The following is a 23138-nucleotide window of genomic DNA, read 5'->3' on the forward strand; positions in this document are numbered from 1 at the left end:
AGTCTCCATCAAGCTCCCCAGCTACCCAACCCTGAAACCTAGGACTTTTCCTCAACTCTCCCCTCGCTGTCATAGCTAACAGGTGGCAGTCACAAAGTGACTGCAGACATTACCTACACAGAATCTCTGTCCTTTCCTCTTCACTCCTAGTACCACTGCCCTGGTTTTCATCACCTCTAGACTAGACTACCGCAACTGTCTCCTGACCTTCCTGCCTCTGGTCTCAGTCCCCTATCATCTCGCTCCACACCATCAACAGGTTCTTTCTGATATGCAAATCTGACCACGTTACTTCCTACTTAAAATCTAGATTCCTCAGCATGAGATACAAGATCCAAAGAATGATATTTGCTTATTTTTCCAGCTGCTTTCCCATAAACTCCATTAGCACTCCCCACAAAGTCATCCCAAATTAACCCATGATCTAAGTTAAAACAGTGTGCTCATGAGAAAACACGAGTCCCTACCTCCCCCTGCCAGCTTGCCTACCCCTCACAGGTCTTTCCTATTAAGAGAGGCTGGAACTGCCACATCCTCCAGCCCTCCGGACAAACTTTAAACTCCGCACCCACATCATGATCATTCATGCTGGAACGATTACTTTTCTTCTGTGCAAAATGTCCCTTCCCTGCCCACATCCAGAATACTGGCCGTAATTCTCAATAGCTATAATAGAATGTCAACACTAAACTGCTCATATGATTTCCAAAATTTATAGATCTGCTTTAATATACCAATATAAAATATTCATACCACAGGCCCTTGTCAGGTAGTAAAACTTGCAAGTGTCTCTCCTATCTAGTCCCTAATAAATGTCCAGCTGGTATTTAGGACAGGGTATATTAAGCTCTATCACTGAATTAGATTACTGGAAAGCTATATACTTGAAAATATCAACCTGACCAAAGGTTAATCTGTTTTCTGTCCCAACATATCTGAGGAATAGGACATATCCCTGCTGGAAGCACAGCCCATAACATCCTTCAACATCCTATATGTAAATTAAACAGTAATGGCACTATTTTTTAACTGGAAAGGAAGGAATCATGGCATACCCAATGAATGTGCATTTCTATGTGTGTGTGCATATGCGCACACGCACGCACGTGTGTTTACGAACAATGGAGGAAGAAGAGAGATAAATAAGATTCCTAATTGAAAATCTGTCTCCCAGGTGATTCTAACACAAAGGAAGAAGTCTCTTTTGAGCAGCACTGGCACAGACCATCACAGAATCACCATCAATAAGTTAGCTCATGCCCTTAAATTTGTTGACAATATAATAGAAATGACAACTGTGAAACTCATCCTAGGAACTCAGCTTACAATGTCCTTCAACACACTATGTTTAAAGTCTTGCAAGGTGACTTTCAGAATTTGAGAACATGAAAAATTCCTCTGAGGCAACATGGTATTCTTCTACTTCCAGTTGTGATAGCTATGAAAAACTGTGCCCATTTTTACCTTGACTGACAGAAGGTTTACAACTGTTGGCATTTTCCTTAAAATCTAAAATGTATTTTTTCCTTCTCAGTTTTTTGCCTGAATTTGAATCTTATCACCAACATTTATTGGCTAGGTGACCTTGGGTGACTTCTTTAACTTCCTCTATGCCTCAAATTTCTGCATCTATAAGTGTAGTTAATAGTACCTACCTTTTAGGGTTATTCTGAGAACTACATGAGACAACACAGGGAAGGTGCCTGCTGCCTAGTGAGAATACCAGAATGATCAGCTGTTAACAGCCATTTATATTTTATTTGGAATATTTGCAAGGTAAAAGCCACCTCTGATTTTTTTAAAAACAAGTAAGTTACAAAGAAGTACTCCTGGTTACAAGCCTCCATATGAATATGATATTCACATCAGGAAATAAAGCTACCCCATGCACCCTGCACTGCTAAGACAGATTATACCTAGAGTGGAGTATTTGTTCCATGCAAGCTGTCATTCTTTAAGACACCTCCAAAACTAAATTCATTTATTTACTTGCTCTTTCCGTAAGTTATTGAACCTAAAACTCAATATGTCAGAAACTACACTCATGATATCCCCTACCAACCCCCCAGTCGAGTCCTCCTACCCTTCTTACTGAACAACTCCAACCATCCAGAAACCCAGGCCTTAATTCTTGGTATCTGTCATCCTTCATGTTCAATCATTCATCAGATTGAGTCAGCCTCCTTCCTCATTCTCTCTTCAATCATTCGCTTTTCTACTTCCACTGCCAAAACCTTACTCAAGGCTACTTTTGTGCTTTGGGTGTACAGCCCTACTCAAGTCCCCTCTCATCCCATGCCACCCATCAACCAAAGTGACCTTTTTAAAGACAAAACTGGTCATCTCATATCCTTGCTTCAGCCTATCAATGGTTTGCCATTTTTCTTAGCAAAAAGGAAATGTCCCAAGCCTTAACATATAGCCTTAAGTGGCCCTGCATGATCTGAGCCTTGTTAACACCCAGTCTTTCCCCTAGCCTAATCTCATTCTCCCCTTACTAACCCACACCAGGCTTCTTTCCAGTTTTTAAGCAGACAGCTGCTCCAGTCTCAGGGCCTCGTGTATGTGCTTCCCATGTCCCATCACCCAGCCAAAGTCCACTCACACATGAGGTTTCTGCTTAAGGATCACTTCCTCCTAAGCAGAGTCCTCCTGTTAGCATCCTGACTTTTTCCTGCAGAGTAGTAATCAAAATTCACTAACTGCAGAATTAGCTTTTCCACTCTGCCTTCTCAACTAAAACATAAGCAGGGGCATCTCTGAGGGCAGAGTCACGTCCTCACCGTTTACGGTTAGAGCCTCAGCAGCGAGCACGCTGGTTTGTACACAGGTAGTGGGATTATTTTTAATTGTAGTAAAAAACACATAACATAAAATTTGCCATTTTAACCATTTATTAATATACAGTTGAGTAATGTAAACTACATTCTCATTGTCCAACAGAGCTCTAGAACTTTTACATCTTGCAAAACTGAAACACTACCCATTAAACAATTCCTCAACTCCCCCTCCCCCAGCCCCTAGCAACCACCATTCTACTCTTTGTTTCTATGAGTCTGACTACTTTAGATACCTCATATAAGTGGAATCCTATAGTGCTTGTCTTTTAGTGACTGCTTTAACTCACTTAACATGGTGTCCTCTAGGTTAATCCATGATACAACATGTGACAGGATTTCCTTCTTTCTCAAGGCTGAGTAGGTATTGATATGTACATACATATTCCATTGTATGTATACACCACATTTTCTTTATTCACCCATTAATGGACATTTATGTTGCTTTCATCTCTTGGCTGTTATGAATAATGCTGCAATAAACATGGGTAAACAAATATCTCTTCAAGACCTTGCTTTCAATTATTTTGTATATATACTCAGAAGTGGGACTGCTAGATCATGGAGTTCTTTTTTTTTTTGAGATGCAGTTTCGCTCTTGTTGCCCAGGCTGGAGTGCAATGCCACAATCTCGGCTCACTGCAACCTCTACCTCCCGGGTTCAAACGATTCTCCTGCCTCAGCATCCCAAGTAGCTGGGACTACAGGCGCATGCCACCATGCCCGACTAATTTTTGTATTTTTAATAGTAGAGACGGGGTTTCACCATGTTGGCCAGGCTGATCTCGAGCTCCTGACCTCATGATCTGCCCGCCTCAGCCTCCCAAAGTGCTGGGATTACAGGTGTGAGCCACCATGCCCGGCCACTAGTTCTATTTTTAATTTTCTGTGGAACTTCCACACTGTTTTCCAGAGTGGTTGTATCAGTTTACCTTCCTACCCATAGTACACAGCATCTCCAGTCTCTCCACATCCTTGCCAACACTTGCTATTTTCTATTTTCATGAGAGTGGAGATCCTTATAGGTGTGATATAACACACACGTAATAAATAGCAGTTAATGTCTACATATACGGAGGCTATACAGATAAGTAAGTCATGGCCTCTACCCTCGAGGAATTCATAGAATAATGGGGAGAAAGAGTAACAAACAAGGTGTGTACTAAATGTGTAGATGACAGACAGAGGGAATTGCCAACTCCTACATCCAGTAGGCAATTAAGAATATGAGTCTGAGATTCAGTGAAAGCTGAATTGACATAAATTGAGAGTTGTCAAAATAAAAAAACAGTATATCCTACTATCTAAATAAATACTACTAAATACTACCTTTTCTTATGCAAAACTAGTATTTCAAAAATATCAGATTTCTTTTCTTTTTTTTTTTTTTTTGAGACAGAGTCTCACTCTGTCATCCAGGCTGGAGTGCAGTGGCGTGATCTTGGCTCACTGCAACCTTTGCCTCCTGGGTTCAAGTGATTCTCCTGCCTCAGCCTCCCGAGTAGCTGAGATTACAGGTGCCCACCACCATGCCCGGCTAATTTTTGTATTTTTAGTAAAGACGGGGTTTCACCATGTTGGCCAGGCTGGTCTTGAACTCCTGACCTCAAGTGATCCGCCCGCCTCGGCCTCCCAAAGTGCTGGGATTACAGGCATGAACCACCACGCTTAGCCCAGATTTCTTAATGTAGTATATCCTATGCCTACTAAGAGAACATGTTATTCTACATATTGTACAACATACTGAATTGTCCCTCTACTTTACAAAGATTATATTATATGCTCCTATGAATCTACCAGTATGTGATCTCAAAAAAAGGAGGTAATCCTAGCCAAATTCCCACCACTTTCTCTTTTGCAGCTTTTAGGACAAACAGAAGAGCACATAATTGGAAACATTATCAAGACCACCTTATAATTTACAGTCTAAAAAACCTAGTTTATTCAGTCAAATGTGCTATTACGTCTGAAAACAGTACTCTAAACAGAGTTCTATTAAGAATACTCATGTAGTATTCAGCAGGCAGGCATGTAATTTAACTGTCTTTAGTCTAAACAAAGAATTAAACCACAAATTAGATATCAAGTATTTAAAGCTAAGCAAGTTGAGAAAACTTAAAGTATATATAATTATCACTCTTATTATCTTATATTTCATTAGTAGGACATGTAAATACTAACAACGATAGCAATGTAGGCAAATAAAATTCACACTTCTGTTCTTCTATTGATTGCTCTGTTCTGCTGACTGTGATTTGAATGTTAGATCATGGAGAGTAATCCCTTTCACTGTGACCAAGTGTTCTTGGTATCCTCAGACAGAATCGTTCCAATGTGCCGCCTTCCCTGCCTTTCAGGTATGCTTTAATACCTAGCATACAGGTGACTGCACAATATGAGCAGATGTGACCAGCTTCTTTACTTATTTAGTACCGAAAGGCCAGACTGAGTGATTGAGAGCCAAAAGTGATTAAAATAATACCATTTATTCTGTGTTCTCTTTATGCCAGAACATCACTTTTCCACTGATGACATTCTATTCTGTCTGCTCATGATGTAAGTGCAAAGCATGTACACATATGCATGCACACACACAAATACACATACACCAAAAAGCTACAGGTGGTTTCTCTCTACACAAGATAGTTTTTCAGTATTTACCAAATTTCACAGTGAAGTCATAATAAACACCTAAGTTATTTTAAAGCTAAATTTTAAACTGAGATAAACTGGTTAATAAAAAAATACAATATGTTCTAAAAAGATAAAAATAAACTTGAAATCACTTACTTTCTGCTCAGGGCTTTCCTGAAACAAAAGTCCAAAGTAGTCTTTCTCCAAGAGATTGAGGTGTTCACACACTTTGTCAAATAACACTTGTCCCTTGGCATGTTTCTGGAGAAAAAATAATAACTTTACTTTTCAAGTACTAAAGATTCCAAGACTGCTATAAATTTAAGACATCATATCAGATACATGATTTATTATAAATTAACATTAAATATTTGTTTTCTCATTTTCTAACAATATAAAAGTGATTAATTTTTTAACTTTAGCCCTCCCACCCTGCACACATATACAAAGCATAAAATCTGAAACAAAAGCATAAGCAAGCACCGTCTGCTTTACTGCTACTCAATATAGACATAAAAAGGACGAAAAAGGCGAAATGTTAGCTGTTCATTTTCTTATTTCAAAAATGTTCAAACTGCTTCCATCAATTCCTCAAGGTGGCTCATATCTATAAAGTACACTACTCCCCAGGAAAATCATTTAGCCCTATTATTCAGTAGATCCTAACATAATTTATCCTATCAACACTTTGGTTTCATGTTTGATTTTTTGTTCCATGATATCTGTAGAATAGAATTTTATTTTCTATATGAGCTATGCTCCTATTTACAATTTCCTAGAAAATGATATGGTGTTCGCTCCTTGGGATAAATTCTAAAAATACAAGATAATGGAAGTGGGACAAGAAATCAACTGCCCCTAAGGACTTAACATATTTTTACCTTGAATATATATATATAAATTTAAGAAGCTGCTGTGAACAGAGATGTAAGAGCCTTTGACAGCCATAGAAGAAAAGCTCATTGTCTCTTCAATGGCAAAACATAAGCAGAGTGGTGACTCATCTCCAATTAAGATGCACACCCCTGGAACAACCCAACTGTGAGGTCAGGTCAGACACACGCCTCCTCCCCAGGTGCACTGATAAAAGCCACCAATGCACTGCTAGTGAAAAAGAAAAAGCCATCAGACTTTTCCATCCTCAAAACGAATGCCCTCTCACTATCAAAATGTGTACTAGCTCATCCAGTGTGTGAAAATTAATGTTCCCCACACATGTATCTTGAGGAGGAGAATCTGGTATTTTTATTATTAAGCCTCTTATGGTAACATTTCTGAAAAGAATAGAATTGCATCAAATTGTAAAGGGAAGAAGGAGAATGCCACACAGATAACATTATTTCAACATAATAAGCAGTGTAAGGCCTGGCATGGTAGCTCACGCCTGTAATCCCAGCACTTTGGGAGGCTGAGGCAGGCATATCTCTTGAGCTCAGGAGTTCAAGATCAGCCTGGGCAACATGGTGAAACCTCATCTCTACAAAAAATACAAACGTTAGCCAGGTGTGGTGGCGTGTGCTTGTAGTCTCAGCTACTCCGGAGGCTGGGGTGGAAGGATTGCTTAAGCCTGGGAGGCTGAGGCTGCAGTGAGCTGTGTTCACGCCACTGCAATCCAGGCTGGGTGACAGTGAGACCCTGTCTCAATAAATAAATACATAAATAATAAAAAATTTAAAAATAAAACAATGTGTCACATACATATTACAGGTTTGCAATGAGGATTTAATAGTCAATTAAATTACTGAGCATGTTTAAGATAGATATGTGCTTGTTTGTCTACATATTAAAAGTATATACAAATACAGCATAGAGAATAAGAGTATTGGGCTCTGTATGTCAAACACCAAAGTTCTAAATACACTTCCACTACTTACAAGCTATGTGACCCATGGCAAGACACTTAACGTCTGCTTGCCTTAATCTGCTCATCTGTGAAATGGGGATAACAGATAGCAGATACCACAGGAGGTGCGGTGAGTACTAAAAGAGTTGCAGTACATAACAATTGGTTATGATGCTATTTGAAATTAGGGTAAAAAGGATATTTAAGACAACTGATGTCTACAAAAATACACCTCAGTTCAAGGAGAAAACACGTTCCAATTCCAACACTAGCTTCAAGTCAACTCTTACTAATAATTCACATGTTCTCATTGGTTTCCATTTCAAAAATAGGAACATGCCCTCATGGGCAGAATTTCCTTACAAGATTAAGAGGAAAAAACATCCACACAGCTCACCACTACAATTTGGCAGTACATGAGGTATCAGCATGATGGCTGGACCAGTTCCTCTATCGGACCTAGTTCCTCTATCATTCAACATTTTGTAAGCATTTACTATTACTGCACCGCACCAGTGTGACAAAGTAAAACCACTTAAGTCTCCCTGTCTGTAAAATGAGGGTAATAGCTACCTCAGAGCTCACGTGAGAATAAAATTAACCCAGTGAGATGGAATATGCCTCAACCAACCATAGCAGTACTCTACTGTCAACTATTCCTTCACTAGTCCACATCTAACAAACACCAAAATGTTTCTAGATGCTAAAGCTGCTTCTCTACTATTCTTTCCTTCTCTCTCCAGGGAACAGATATTCTCAATGCTTGATGAGATCCTGATTGCACATACACATTACTTAAGCTTCCATCTGCCTCTCCACCCTCAACGAACTCAAAATCTGGAAGGAAAAGCAAAAATGCAACAACACATGAAGCACATGTTGAGAGAGCGATGTACAAAGTGCTATCAGAACACCAGGAATGGAATGAGTAAATGTGACTAACAGAAATCACAGCTGCGCCAAGAATATGATATCTGAAGGGAATCTTAGAGGAGGAAATGATTTTTTGAGGTAGAGAAAACAGATATTCAAAATAACTTACTTTTTACTTTGGATGTTTATAGAGCTTACTTTTTACTTCGGATGTTTATAGAGACTGAGTGAATTTCTGTTCAAAAGATACTGGAGGATACAGTAAAATGAAAAAAGGAAGCCATCCAGAATAAACAAGCCATGCGATATGACTGCTGGTTACCCTGTCCGACTCTCAGATGACTGTGAGGACTTGCCAAGCTAGCACTCAATCTTTATTGACCCATATGTGTCAGTTCCTATGTTAAGATACCAGGGAATCAATGATGAGCACGACAAACATGGTCTCAGGAAATTTATATGCAACTGGCAGAGAAAGAGAATGAATGGGAAGCCAAAAATAAAGCATTATGTATCTACCAATTTGGACATAATTAGGTACCTGGCCCAATTGGCTCAAAGAAAAGTGACCAGTAGCCTACAAGATAGCCTGATACAAGAGCTCTGCACAACAACAATCTTTTGCTCTGGGGATGAGGAATAGCAGATAGAATCACGACTTCCCTCAGGGAGATTAAATACAAGACAGACAGTCACACACACACACACACACACACACACACACACACACACATACACGCACAGTCATAAAGTGGTATAAACAGTAGGAAAGACAGCGAGAAGGCAATTAGCAGAAGCCAAAGGTATCACGAGGCCAACCTATATTTGCCAAAGTTATTTTCCACTGGTCCCACTCATCCCATGAGTTATATACACCACTCATTCCCAAAAAGAGCAGCAGAGTGAGACAAGAAAAATTCTCCTTGTTGCATATGATTACTGAGCACCAAAACACCTATTTGTATAACAGACACCCTGAGGAGTCCTGCAATGCAAAAACCCTGTTTCCCATTATTCCTTTCACTTGGGAAACCTGATGTTTCCCAAAACTATTTAGCAAAAGAGCCCACTATTTTTTAATACAACATTTACTAATGTATTCTACAACAGAATTTTTGTTTTAAAGACCACACCTCACTAAATGAGGTAGGAAAGAATTACAGGTTGAGCATCCCAAATCCAAAAACCCAAAATATGAAATGCTCCAAAATCCAAAAGTTTTTTAACGCCAACATTATGCTCAAAGAAAATGCTCATTGGAGCATTTCGGATTTCCAATTTCTTGATTTGGAGTGCTCAAGTATTACAAAATCTGAAAAAACTTGAAATACAAAATATTTCTGGTCCCAAGCATTTCAGATAAAAGATACTCAACCTGTACCACCATCTGACTCTAACGCAGATGTAGACACTGGTATTCACATCTGTTTGATTCAAAAATGCCAAAAGATAATCCAGTTTAAACTGGTCCAAGATTAGATATGCCCAGCTGCCTGGGAGAAGCAAGAAATTCTCATAGACAAAAATCTCAAAAAACATACATTAAAAATCACAAAACGACAAGGAAACCAGACACCATTATTGAGAGACACAGTATCAGAATCAGATCTTCAGAGACTGCACATAGTAGAATTATCAAGAACAAAACACAAAATATATATGTTTTATGTGTTTATAAGAAATATTTTAAAATATGACTAAGGAAAAAGTGAATATGAAAAAGCAGGTTTTGAAAATAATCAAATAAAACACCTAGAAATGAAAACTATAGTAACTAAATTATAATCCAAATGGACAGGATATGACAAAGCTGAAGAGAAAACCAGTGAACTGGAAGATAGATCTGAAAAAAACTATCCAGAATGTGGCTGAGAAAGACAAAGGGAAGGACAATATGAAAGAACTTCACAGACATGGAGAACAGAATGAGGGGTCTACAAATATCTCATCAGAGTCCTAGATGGAGATGAGAGAGAATAAGGGAAAGGCAATATTAAAAGAAACAACGCTATAAAACTTCAAATTAAGAAAGCTCAATGAATCCCTAGCAAAATTAATAAAATTTATTAATCTACAATGATTTTATTCTACTAATTTATTATTTATACTCAACATATAAAAGGTTCTAACACGCATTATTTTTTTAAATAGCTATAATAAAGTCATCAAGACAAGAGGGAATGAAACATAAGCTAGGGAATAAAAAGAAGGACTGAGAAGGAAAATTGTAACAAAAAAACACAGAAAAGTCACTCCTAAGAAACCTAAAACAGATGTGCTTTGGAGGCTTATTCAAAAAGGCAAACAAAATAAGTAGTACATTTCTTCTTATATTCTAAAAAGCATCAGATTATCAGGTGACACATATTAAATGCTACATATGAATGTTCCAAGTTATAACATTTATAGCACTAATGTTCAATCAAACTCGATTGGGTCGGCTCAGACAGCAACACCATCTAGTGGCTCACAACTTTGTCTTCACACTGTTCACAACACATTCCATAAATAATAATTCTCTTTGGGGTGGGGGTGAAGAACCAAGGCACAATGCATAATGGTAGCACATAAAAATGTACAGGGGCATGTAAGTTGAAATTGTTCCTCAAAATAGTTCTTCCTTTCCCCCGAGATTCTGGTATGTTCCATCTTTCTTGAGAATCACCAATTCTTAACAATACGGAAGAAAAGTACTGCAGTATAATCACAGTGTCCTGGGCTTGACCCCCAGCCCTACTCTTAACAGCTCTGTAACCACAGTAAGTTACGTAACTTCTCTATGCCTCAGTTCCGCTCTTTAAAAGTACCCACCTTATAATGGTGATGAGATAATTAAATGAAGTATGTTTAAAGTGATCAATAAAATGTTTGGCTTATTACATGGATTCATTAAAGCCAGCTGAAATTACAAGACCTTTTTGAGCTGCTCTAAAATAATAATTGATTTTAAATATGATTTTAAAGTTTTCCATTATCTAATCAAACTTTCTTATTTCACAAATAAGAAAAATAAGGTTATAGAAAGTTTATCTAATTTTTCAGTCTGATTTCTGAATTTCTTTTAAAATAATTAAATTATTATGTATGCTCTTAATATACACTAATATTCCACACTTCTATCCAGGAAAGTAATTTTCTTCCATTAACATTGCTTTTAAAAAAAAAAAAATCAACAACTTGAATTCTACTGTATAAAAAGGACTACAAATATACATTTGTTAACCAAGCAAAATATACACATAATTTTGCTTCATAACTTTCACCTAAGATACCAGTACACGTAGTTGCTTCATTAGTTGTCACAGCAATTTTGGGGTATTGCCCCAGATAAAGAGAACCACTTACTGACTTATCAAGACATATTCTAATTTTTTTCCTCTGATTTATTTACAAGTGTCAAAACTACCTCTACTTGTATACAAATCTCCAAAATATCCTTCCCTATGAAGCCTGTTCCAATCTCTCAATATTGCATCATTCTCCTTCAAGAGCATTATTCACATCTATGGCACTTATTCTTCTATTCTACTCCTTTTGATACTTATTACTTTCAGATACTGAGTTCTTTAAGAAAGAGGACATCTTACTTCAATGCCTCCTACTGAGTAATTAGCTGACTAGTAGGCCAAAAGATAGCTGCTGATGGAACGGCTCAATGCCATAAGGCCAGTCAAAAAGTTGGCAGAGTTGAGTCTAGAATTCAGGCCTGCTGGTTTCTTACACAATCTTCCTTACCTAGCTGATGGACTACCAACCCATAATGTTCAAGGACCTAAACCAAACACACACTGCCAACTAGTTTCTGGGAGAAGACCAGCACAGACCAACACTTCATTTTCACAATTCTACATTATGCTTATACTCTTCCTTAGTAAACTAGGGCATTTCCAAATACATTTTGGGAACTAGAGGGAAAAAGCCAATCTGCCCCTTCCTCTTAAGAGTAGGCCATACCTCATCTTTATGCAGAAAGGACAGGGGGTTTCCTAGTCTTGCACATTCCTCCACTAAGACATCACTTTCGCTGTCATTTCTTCTTGCTATCTGAAGCATGCCTTTGCTTTGTTTCTGTTCTTACAGTAGAATCTTCATAAAGTACAATCCGAGTCAATCTCTATTCTAATAATATGATATCAAGTTTATTAAACAATAAAAACCATGCAACTGTTAATAAAACTTGCCAAATACACTTCAAAAAGAAATATTTTGAATATAACTTTCTATATTAAATATCAACAAGCTTAGCTATCTATTTTTCGTCTGTCTGCCTCTCCCTAACCCTACTTATACCACTCACTAGCAATATAAAGTTAACGGGTTGAAAACTTTAAAACAATAAACAAAAAAAGCCCTTTGGTCTACTTTCCAGGTATCAGAGTTTTAGTTTTTTTAAAAACCTATATATTATAGATACCCACAAAAGAGAGACAAAACAAGACAATTTGGATGGGCTCAAAATACATTATTCAAAAATTAGAATGCTAGCTTTTGGGAACTTTCATTTAAAAAGAAAAAGAGTAAATGAAATCTACTGCAGATGCAGCCCAAGGAAGGCAGGCTGGAATCTGAGAGGCTGAGCAAAGTCCCCCATGCCTGTGCTGTTATTTGTGGCATTCAACACTGAGGCCAAAACATGACATTTCTGGAGGCCTCTCAACTTGGAGGAATTTGTGCAACTGCTTACCCGGCAGATTGTAGTGAATGCCACACACCACTGGCGTTTTATAAACACCATCACTGTCTCCGTGTAGGGCCCTCCACACTGCAGTTATTGTGTGCTGAGGAGACGATGATGGGAAGCGCACAATGCAATCTATACATTACAGCCCTGAAGCTATGTATTTTGCACTAGCTCCAAACAACACTATGCAAATATAAAAGGCCAAGGAAAGAAAGGTATGCACAGAGCAAACACAACAACTGATACATTGTTGGGGGAGGAGGATGGGAATCCAATAAAACCATACGGAAGAAGAGAGAGTGTCTCAAATCCAAGGCTGTGATTTATCAGATAATTATTTTCTTACCAATCTAAGGGAGCTGTCAACACATCTCTTTCCCAAAGTTCATTCAAACCCCAGGAAAAAGAAACCCTGGTCAATTTTGTGTGTGTGTTAAAAACATAATTCCAGTAGTAAATGAGACATTGATATAGTAAAGGAAGATTCTTAAGAAAAGCTTCCCTGATCATTAGTAAGAATTAAGTTTGAAAACGTTTTTTCCAAATACTCAAAAAAGATACATATTATATATAATATACAAACATATGCATGTAGATACATAAATATAGAAGACATATACATAAATACATATTTCTCTTTTCTAAGAGATGGGGTCTTGCTCTGTTGCTGAGCCTGGAGTGAAGTGGCACAATCCTGGCTCACTGCAGCCTCAAACTTCTAGGCTCAAACGATCTTCCTGCCTCAGCCTCCTGAGTATCTGAGACTACAGGTGCATGCCACCATGCCTGGCTAATTTTTAAAATGTTTTGGTAGAGGCAGATGGGGTTTCATCATCTTACCCAGGCTGGTCTCTAAAACCTCTGGGCTCAAGCAATTCTCCCACCTTGGCCTCCCAAAGTGCTGGCATTACAGGTGTGAGCCACAGCACCCGTCCCTTTCTTTTTGTTTTCTTTTTTTTTTTTTTTTGTAACTGAAAAATTTTTTTCAAACTTAATTTTCATTAATCAGGAAAACTTTGTATATACGTATACAAGTAAACAGTTAAGATAGATAAGAGATTTACGTAAACATGTTGGATTCTTACAACATATTTTTCTTGTATACTATTCCTTAGAGAATAAACCAAAAAAAGGAAGGGAGGGAGAAAGGAAAACTTCTCACAGTTCATTAAGGATTGCCACATCTTTTCCATTCCACAGGATTCAAAGGATTATGACAGAATATTGGGGGAATTTTGCAGTGTTGTTGACAGGAATGACACAAAATACCATTCAATGTAGTTTCAGTTGCTAAAAATTAAAATTAAAAAGCTGCTGCTTAGAAAAACACACACTAGACTAGAACAGACTGCAAAGATACCCTCCAGTAACTGTAACCTGCAATCATTTAAAAGGAAATCCTAGTAAAGCTATAAGCACACAGGTTCACCTTTAATAAAATCACATAGATACTTTGACTCCTTACTTGCCCTTCTTACTTGTTATATAAGTAAGGCCCTTATTTCATGAGCACGATGCTTCCAAGCCCATCAAGTCTAAGAGCAGTATTCAATGGAATGTTCTTCCACCCCAGTCTGCTGGGTTTTGAAATATTTCAGAATTCTTAACTGAGCATATAATTAATCTCATAAGCAACTCGGTAAGCTTAAACAAGATGCAAAAATATATTTCATTTTTATGCTATGTGGAAAATGGCACCAAAAAAATCTGAAATCCTGCTACCAACATTATTAACACAAAAAAACCCACTGTCAATAACAGTTGAAGTCTATGATATGGCCCCTTTTTTTAAAAAGAAAATAAATGCTAATTTTTAGTTTTAAACAATATCAACCTTTTAATATCTCATTCATAACTACACACGAATTTATTTCTTAGGCAGTTGTAGTTTTTATCTCCTGCAGCCCAGAAATTTTCAATAGTTTTCAAGACACAAGAATCAGCTAGTAGACTAGGGTGTGCCCACTTGGAGGACTTCTATCTCCAAACAGGTATGCAGAAGGCTATTCCAGGAACCAATTCCCACTCCTCACATTTACATTCTAGCTCCACAACAAACCCAAAGCCAACCTCTGGAATGAAGATGCAGAAAACCTCAAAAAAGCCCCCAGAGCAATGGATCTTAAAGCTTGCTAAGAAAACCATATTTGATGACATGTAAATACCCACAAATTTTATACAAAAAAAGTTTTTTTGCTTAAACAAGACAATAAACACCTCTGTCAGTTCTAGTATGTCAGTTGCTCAGCCATTCATAAAATACAGCCCTGCAGGCATTCCATAAATGCCTTCCTTTGGTAATAAAAGTTTAATGGAATAGTATTCTAGCTTATGAGGAAGAATTATCTAAATCTTCATTTGCTCTAAGTAAACAGCTGCTAAATAGCCTGCTAAATTTGCAACTTCTTATCTGCAAAAAACAAATATTTCTACTCTTAGAGTTTATTTCAGTGGGAAATAAGTTCACCTTTGACATTCTACATTTTTGTAACACAACTGGTTATAGCCAATGTCTCTCTTCTGACCCTCCAACAGAAGGGTAAGTCCTTGGACACTAGGGATTGGTTTATTCAAAATTACAAGATAAAATATACTATTTTTAAATCTTGTGGGGTTTTTCTTACTTGTAAAAGTACTAAATAGGGTTTAATTTTTCAGTCTAACCAAGTTATTTAAATTACAAAGACATTGCAAATATATAAGTGGCATACGTTTACATTAAGGCCCTTCTAAGCCAAATAGTGATAAAATACAAGAATACTAGAAATTTATCCAAGGCATACGACTTAAGTATTTTCATCAGAAATTTAAGAAAGCTGGTAAAATCCTGAGAAAAATATATAATCAGGATTTTAAAATATAATAACAATTAGAGTTAATATTTATCAAGCCCTTACTATGTCCTAGGCATTGCTCAAAACAAATCATAACCAAATTCAGCTATCGATTAGTTAGCAAACAGCTGTGAAGTAAAGGAACCCAAACATGCACTTAGTAAGACCTCCTACAGTCTTAACGTGAGGCCTCTCAAAGCAGTTCTTAACTCTGGCTGCACAAATGCTCCAGCCGGCATCAGACCCGCTGAATTAGAATCTACAAAAGAAGAACCTGGGCATCTGTAACTTTTTATTTAGACCAGTTTTAGGTTCGCAGCAAAATTGCGCATAAGGTACAGAAGTTTTCCATATATTCCCTGCTTTCACACATGCATAACCTCCCCCATTGGGATAATTACCAACATCCCACACAGTGGGTACATTTGTTACAACTGGTGAACCTCCACTGACATGTCGTTATCACCCAAAGTCCACAGTTTATGTCAGGGTTCACTCTTGGTGTCCTGCATTCTATGTGTTTGGACAAATGTACAATGACACGTATCCACGATGTATTATAGCATCATACAGAGTAACTTCATTGCCCTAAAAACCCTAAAATTTTTTTAAAAGCTTAACCAACAAATTTTTAAAAGCTTAACCATGAGGCAGTCAGCAAAGAGGATCCCTGTCCCAGCATTCAACTATCTGCCTGCATACTCCAAATCCATCAATTTTCAGTTTTCAATCTGGCCAGGCTACATCCCATGGTGTATATGTGCTCCTTTTGTCCCTTTCAAAGACCCAGATAGAAAAGCCAGGATAATAAATCAAATGCTCAATTATTCACTTAAAATGCTTTAAAAAAAAAATGATTGGCTGGGCGCGGTGGCTCATGCCTGTAATCCCAGCACTTTGGGAGGCCGAAGCAGGTGGACCGTGAGGTCAGGAGTTCAAGACCAGCCTGGCCAAGATGGTGAAACCATGTCTCTACAGAAACTACAAAAAATTGCCAGTTGCAGTGGCAGGTGGCTGTAATCCCAGCTACTCGGGAGGCTGAGGCAGAATTGCTTGAACCAGGACAGCAAAAGTTGCAGTGAGCCAAGATCGTGCCACTGCCCTCCGGCCTGGGTGACAGAGTGAGACTCCATCTCAAAAAGAAAAAAAAAAAAAAGATTAACACAGCCTGCTAAAATAAGATTTATCTGACAATCTTCAATGACAACTATATTTGAGTCTACCTTTGTGAAAGAAATCATCAGGTGGAAAAACACAAGACGACTGGAGATCCTACATCTTATCACAAGCCAGACCCATTGAAACTGTTCTTACCTCTATTAGCCAGGAGTGCTTATTCTTTTAAAAACTAACCAAAGTAGAAGACAAGTTACAATGCAGAATAATCTTATATCACTTAAACGCTTACTTTATTATGGTTGTAAAGCAGAGGGAGATAGGACGTGACACAAAAGGAGAGGTCTCGATGAGTTTCCTAACAACAGTAGTTGCCATATACTTCACCACCTGAATTTCTGATTCTTGAATTTGATGACAAGCAACTTCTAGGCAATCTAGGGAAAAATCCACTTCATTTTGAGATATCTCAGTTTTTAAACATTGATCTACTTGGGGCAACAGTGTTTCTATTCAATTTGACATTTTTTCCAAGTAAAAGTTTTTCATTCCTGGTGGATGACTAACAAAGTAAAATAAAAGACAAAGTGACAACAAGGTCTTTGTTCACCACTGGAGTGTGGAGGGAGGGGGACCTGGCTGGGTGAATCTTTAAGGTCTTGCTTGATTTAAAACACACATACACAAAAAATGCTACAACTATGTAAGGAGGAAACTCTGAGGCATCAGAAAGAACCTAGAATTCAGAAGCAGGAAAGTTAAGCAGCTTTGGGTGAACATGGCCCTGAACCGTGCCTTTCAAAAAGGCTGTACTACTGGTAGTGTGCCCACCTGATCCAAAGATGCCAAAAATCCAGCCCTCTAGCCTCCTCCCACCCCAAAATGCCTTTATTTTTTTACTTCTCTTGGCTTCAATAGTGAAATTCTACCACTAGAATTCGACCACTAGATTCTTTAGAGTAAACAGGTATCTTCTTTTAAAATACAGAGATCTCTTAGAAGGCAGTACAGGTAATTCACACACTAAAGTCATTCACTCAAACTGCTGATCCTCTGTTACTTAGCTGCTTATCTGCTAGATTTGAAAAAGTAGGGATTTTGTTTCCAGAGGAAGAAAAAGTAGGCAGGAAGCTTAGAACATTTTTTGTATTATAATACTATAAAGGAACACCTGGATATCATCATGGAACTAGTAACAAGAAAGTCTAACGGCGAAAAGCACCAAGAAATAGAAAAGTAAATCAGTGTGAAACCCAACCATGAACACAGGAATGAAATCTTTCCCCTTTACTGCACAGGCTCCAACCAGGGGCAGAGGAGACTAAAAATCCCTCATGATATCACCAATGCTTGGTCCAGAAATGTTTAATGAATAAAGCCACAAAACTATATATAATAAATAGTGACCCAAACCAAGTGAATAACAAATGAATTGCACCTATTTGCCAAAAACCCAAATAACTTTTTTTTTTTTTTGAGGCTGAGTCTCACTCTATCACCCAGGCTGGAGTGCAGTGGTGTGATCACCGCTCACTACAACCTCCGCCTGTCGGGTTCAAGCAATTCTCCTGCCTCAGCCTCCCAAGTAGCTGGGATTACAGGCGTGTGCCACCAAGCCCGGCTAATTTTTTGTATCTTTAGTAGAGATGTGGTTTCTCCATGTTGGCCAGGCTGGTCTCAAACTCCTGACCTCGTGATCCGCCCACCTCGGCCTCCCAAAGTGCTAGGATTACAGATGTAAGACACCGCGCCCGGCCCCAAATAACATATTTTAAGGAGAAAAGCATTTCTATCCTCTTTCATCTCCTAGGACCCACCCCCCAATTAAACACACATGCAAAATAAAACGGATTATCTAGACACCAGCAGGGAATACTAAAGCAACAAAATGAAAACTAATGAAAAGCATCTGCAAGAAAACAATGAACTATGTCAAAACAGATGCTACTAAAGCTACCACAATCAAAAGTCTTTTTAGAAGATATCCAGAGAGCCTAATGGTAACTTTGACATGTGCTATATTCAGGGGAAGAGTCCACTTTATTTTAGTATGTGACAAAACATGCTCATCGTTCAACTTTTATTAAGTAGAAAATAGACTTCCAATTAAAGATGGTAGAATGAACATGCACACTTAGCTCTGTTCCCTACAAAATCTGTTCTAAGACAATGCAGAGTGTACATGTTACTGTGTACATATGCACACGTGATTCTTCCCCCAATGCAAGGAACCTGGGAAAAGCAAAATTAGGATAAGCAGACTGAAAAAGGATAGGAGGTAGGATCAGTGCATTTGTATTTTATGCTTTCTTTCCCATGGGTGGGAATCCACTTCTCCATAGATTTAGCAGAAGCAAAGAGCTTAATTTATTTAAACCCCAATAAATACACTGGCTTTGCAAGATGAAGATTCCTAGTTAATGCCAAGCCAAAGAAAGCCTGGATCAAAAATGGCAACACTAGCCCTGTAAAGCCAGGAAAGTGGTTTGCCCTGAACAAATGTTTCTGGTACATTTTTTTTATGTCATCCTTGATACGCAAGGATATATTAAAACCTTTTCTTTCTTGTAACCCCCAATTTTTGCTTGGATGCTACTATTTAAGCAGTTTTAAAATGAAAAATGTAATAGGTTAGGTTAGGGTATAGCTGAGTTTTTCCTAAATATATCTTTTTTTTTTTTCTTTTGGGAGATGGAGTCTCACTCTGTCGCCCAGGCTGCACTGCAGTGGCATGATCCTGGTTCACTGTAGACTCTACCTCCTGGGTTCAAGCAATTCTTGTGCCTCAGCCTCCCAAGTAGCTGAGACTACAGGTGCCCCCTCACCATGCTCAGTTAATTTTTGTATTTTTAGTAGAGATGGGGTTTCATCACATTGGCCAGGTTAGTCTCAAATTCCTGACCTCAAGTGTGATCTGCCCGCCTCGGCCTCCCAAAGTCCTGGGATTACAAGCATAAGCCAGCGTGCTCAGCCCTAAATATATCATTCTTTGAAATCCAAAAGTTTCTCCTCAGTGAAGACATGCATACCGACTCCAGCCTATAGTAACTTGGCACTTCTGTGCTTTTGTATTACTTTTCAGAACTATAAACAATACTTTATCAATTTGACTCATATGTTTATGTATGTGGATATAAGTGTGTGTGTGTATAAACACCTGCTATTACTGTCTTATATGTAAAGCTTATCTCTGAAAGTAAAATTCATAAATAAAAGGAAAAATGATACTTCATACTTTTCTTTTTATCTTCTCAGCTCAAGTAGGAACCAAATCAATATCTGGGGATAAAAATTATTTCTGAACACATAGGATATATTTAAATAAATACTATTTTGAGAGGAAATTTGTAAAATAGTGTGAAAATATGACTTCCTTAACTTCTCATTTTTCTTAAAAATTATATACCATCACAAAGGGAGACTAGCAACCCTGTCATTAATTTTTTAAAAATGAAAACCCAGGATTTTTGTCCAACTTTTTCTACTACTCACTTTAAACAGCAAGACTTAGCTTAAGTCTCTAATGAATTATAATCTCTTTTAAAAGACGGAGAATTGACTATAACTGTTAGATAATAAAGAGGCTAGTATCGAACTTCTAGCCAGAAGCGCACACCAAATTTTTTTAAGTATCTTTCATAAAAGTTGCTAAGCACCATATTTCCATGAAAACTTATTTCAAAAACCATGAGCAGCAAACTTCTGTAGGCTAGCACATTCTCTGTAAACTATTTGCCTAGAATGAATTTTGACATTTGATTCATACAGGCTTTCTGTGCTACGGAAGAATAGCTTATCAGAGCAGTCCTATTTGATTCACTTGAAATTGTTGCTGACAGAAATCTGGAAGGAGATGTCAGTGAATACAACAAGTAGATGGTGGTAACACTCAGATTAAGTTTCCTCTCTGTGCAAATAACCAGACTGATGCACAAAATCAGGCTTAATCTCAAAACAGGCTAAAATGGCATATTCTGCAAATGAAGTACACTTATGAGATGTAGTTTGATTACTAGACAGAATGGAGCTTGTGCCCTCAGGTGCCTCTCCAGAATATAAGAGTCAAAACAAAATAAAAGATAAATTAATACTCCTAATCATAATTTTTCTAACACAGTTCAGAGTTGATGTATAACTCCATTGTAGAGCATAATTAAATAAATATTTAAATAGCAAACTGACAGATCATTTATGTCAGTGCTTTAATAATTTAGCCACCTTGCATCATAAAACTATTTTTCTGAATAATCCACGGATTTTTACAGACTGTATTTTATTATGTTATACCGCATTCAATCCCTTTAAGCTCCAAATGCTGGCATATTATGTTATAGTGCTATAAATACTAATGATAAATTCTGTCCATGTTTCCACTTGGCCACAGAGTATGTGCTCCTGCTAAGGGAATGGATGAATAGAATGCACCTAATTCCAGCTTTTGTGTGATAAATTAAACAACATTCACAGGTGGAGACAAGATTCTCAAATCCCTGTCCCCCATATCATGCCTGGCAGCTGGGAAGGTGGAGGTAGGATGAGGAAAGCAAATAATTGGTAAAATTTCCTGATAGCTGAAAAACAAAAACTATGTCAGTAACATCATCTTAAATTTGTTCAGAAGAACAGGAAGCAATAGAAAAGAAATCAAAGACTAGAAATAAAACAGTAATGATGACAGAATGATTCTAAACACAGTGGATTTAACAAAAGATACTGATAATTGTTGTTGCATGAGAGAGTGTAATTAGATTACATCCCTTCATTTGATGAACTCTGGCAAAGATTTTTTAAATTTTACTGCCTACATATATTTTTTTAAATTATACTTTTAAGTTCTGGGATATGTGTGCAGAACGTGCAGGTTTGTTACATAGGTATACATGTGCCATGGTGGTTTGCTGCACCCATTAACCTGTCATCTACATTAGGTATTTCTCCTAATGCTATCCCTCCCCTAGCTTCCACCACCTGACAGGCCCTGGTGTGTGATGTTCCCCTCTCTGTGTCCATGTGTTCTCATTGTTCAACTCCCACTTATGAGTGAGAACATGCGGTGTTTGGTTTTCTGTTCCTGTTTTGCTGAGAATGATGGTTTCCAGCTTCATCCATGTCCCTGCAAAGGACACGAACTGATGCTTTTTTATGGCTGCATAGTATTCTACGGTGTATATGTGCCACATTTTCTTTATCCAGTCTATCATTGATGGGCATTTGGGTTGGTTCCAAGTCTTTGCTACTGTGAATAGTGCTGCAATAAACATACATGTGCATGTGTCTTTTTGGTAGAATGATTGATAATCCTTTGGGTATATACCCAGTAATGGGATTGCTGGGTCAAATGGTATTTCTGGTTCTAGATCCTTAAGGATCTTCCACACTGTCTTCCACAATGGTTGAACTAATTCATGCTCCCACCAACAGTGTAAAAGCGTTCCTATTTCTCCACATCCTCTCCAGCATCTGTTGTCTCCTGACTTTTTAATGATCGCCATTCTAACTGGCGTGAGTACATATTTTAAAGTAACAAAAATGTGTCCAAACTGATTTTAAAGCATAAATTTTATTCTGAAAATAACTTTTCCCAACATTTCTAACCTTACTCGACCCTGAAGTAATTTTCATTCCAAAACAGAGAAATAATTCAAAGATCTAGTTCCTGTTCTACTACCACCCTCTGATGAGGGTAAAAACTTACTAAGTGGTAAATCACCAAGGAGTTGGCATGGCTGCCAGTGTGTAGCATGCCTATCCAGCAAGAGGTGGACAGTTTCTTCAAAAGTATGTCAGGATGGCTGCTCACAGTTAGAAATTACTTTCAAGTTTAATGCTTTTAAAATACCAGTGATGCAGGGGCAAACAAAGTAATCCCCTGGTTTTGAAACCAAATGTGGAGAAGACAGAGAAGAAAAAAAGCATGTGAAAGAATTCCTCGAATGCTGAGAAATAAAATGGCCTATCATTCTTTAGTTTCCTCAAGAGAAGAGGAGGCATTATTAGAAAACAAGGGACAAAGAATAAGAATTATAGTATCTTCAAGCCCAGCCTACGCCCAGCCAGCAAACAACCTGGTCTGATAGCAGCTCCAACAGAAGTGAAAGAACAGAGCTTCCGGGAGCCTGCAATTCCCTCTGAGCTGTGAATGTGAGCTCCTAAAGGGCCAGGGTCACACCATAGTAACTTCTATATGGCTCTCATGCCTAGAGTTTCACAATCTTTTGTAGAAACATAATAGTTTTCATTTACAATAAGCCTTTGAAGTATTTATATAACAAGTCGGTCTGCTGTTTCCAAGCATCTGAAAAGCAGGGCAATAATGGACA

General features: G+C 37.9%; 1 protein-coding gene across 23 annotated transcripts in view, besides 2 other annotated features; it reads right to left on the minus strand.

Annotated features, from left to right (window-relative positions):
• EPB41L2 (erythrocyte membrane protein band 4.1 like 2) overlaps positions 1-23138 on the minus strand; it is a 223899-nt gene that overhangs the window by 81631 nt on the left and 119130 nt on the right. For all 23 annotated transcript variants that reach the window (NR_146620.2, NM_001135554.2, NM_001350314.2 and 20 more), the window contains one exon: positions 5628-5732. Coding sequence is in view for 21 of the 23 variants with exons in the window: in NM_001135554.2 (NP_001129026.1) it covers positions 5628-5732 (105 nt within the window). In the remaining 2 variants the exon portion in view is untranslated. The remainder of the gene's footprint in view (positions 1-5627; positions 5733-23138) is intronic.
• Positions 8232-8526: a silencer, noted in NCBI's record as "tiled region #6396; HepG2 Repressive non-DNase unmatched - State 15:Elon". NCBI's record gives its function as "represses a minimal TATA promoter and a strong SV40 promoter by Sharpr-MPRA in HepG2 cells {active_cell/tissue: HepG2}" and the evidence as "EXISTENCE:reporter gene assay evidence [ECO:0000049][PMID:27701403]".
• Positions 10511-10680: an enhancer, noted in NCBI's record as "experimental_89750 CRE fragment used in MPRA reporter constructs". NCBI's record gives its function as "activates a minimal promoter by MPRAs in K562 erythroleukemia cells, with activity observed for both the introgressed and non-introgressed 6:131252713 variant alleles {active_cell/tissue: K562}" and the evidence as "EXISTENCE:reporter gene assay evidence [ECO:0000049][PMID:34662402]".

This window comes from Homo sapiens, chromosome 6 (assembly GCF_000001405.40).
Source record: "Homo sapiens chromosome 6, GRCh38.p14 Primary Assembly".
NCBI lineage: Eukaryota > Metazoa > Chordata > Mammalia > Primates > Hominidae > Homo > Homo sapiens.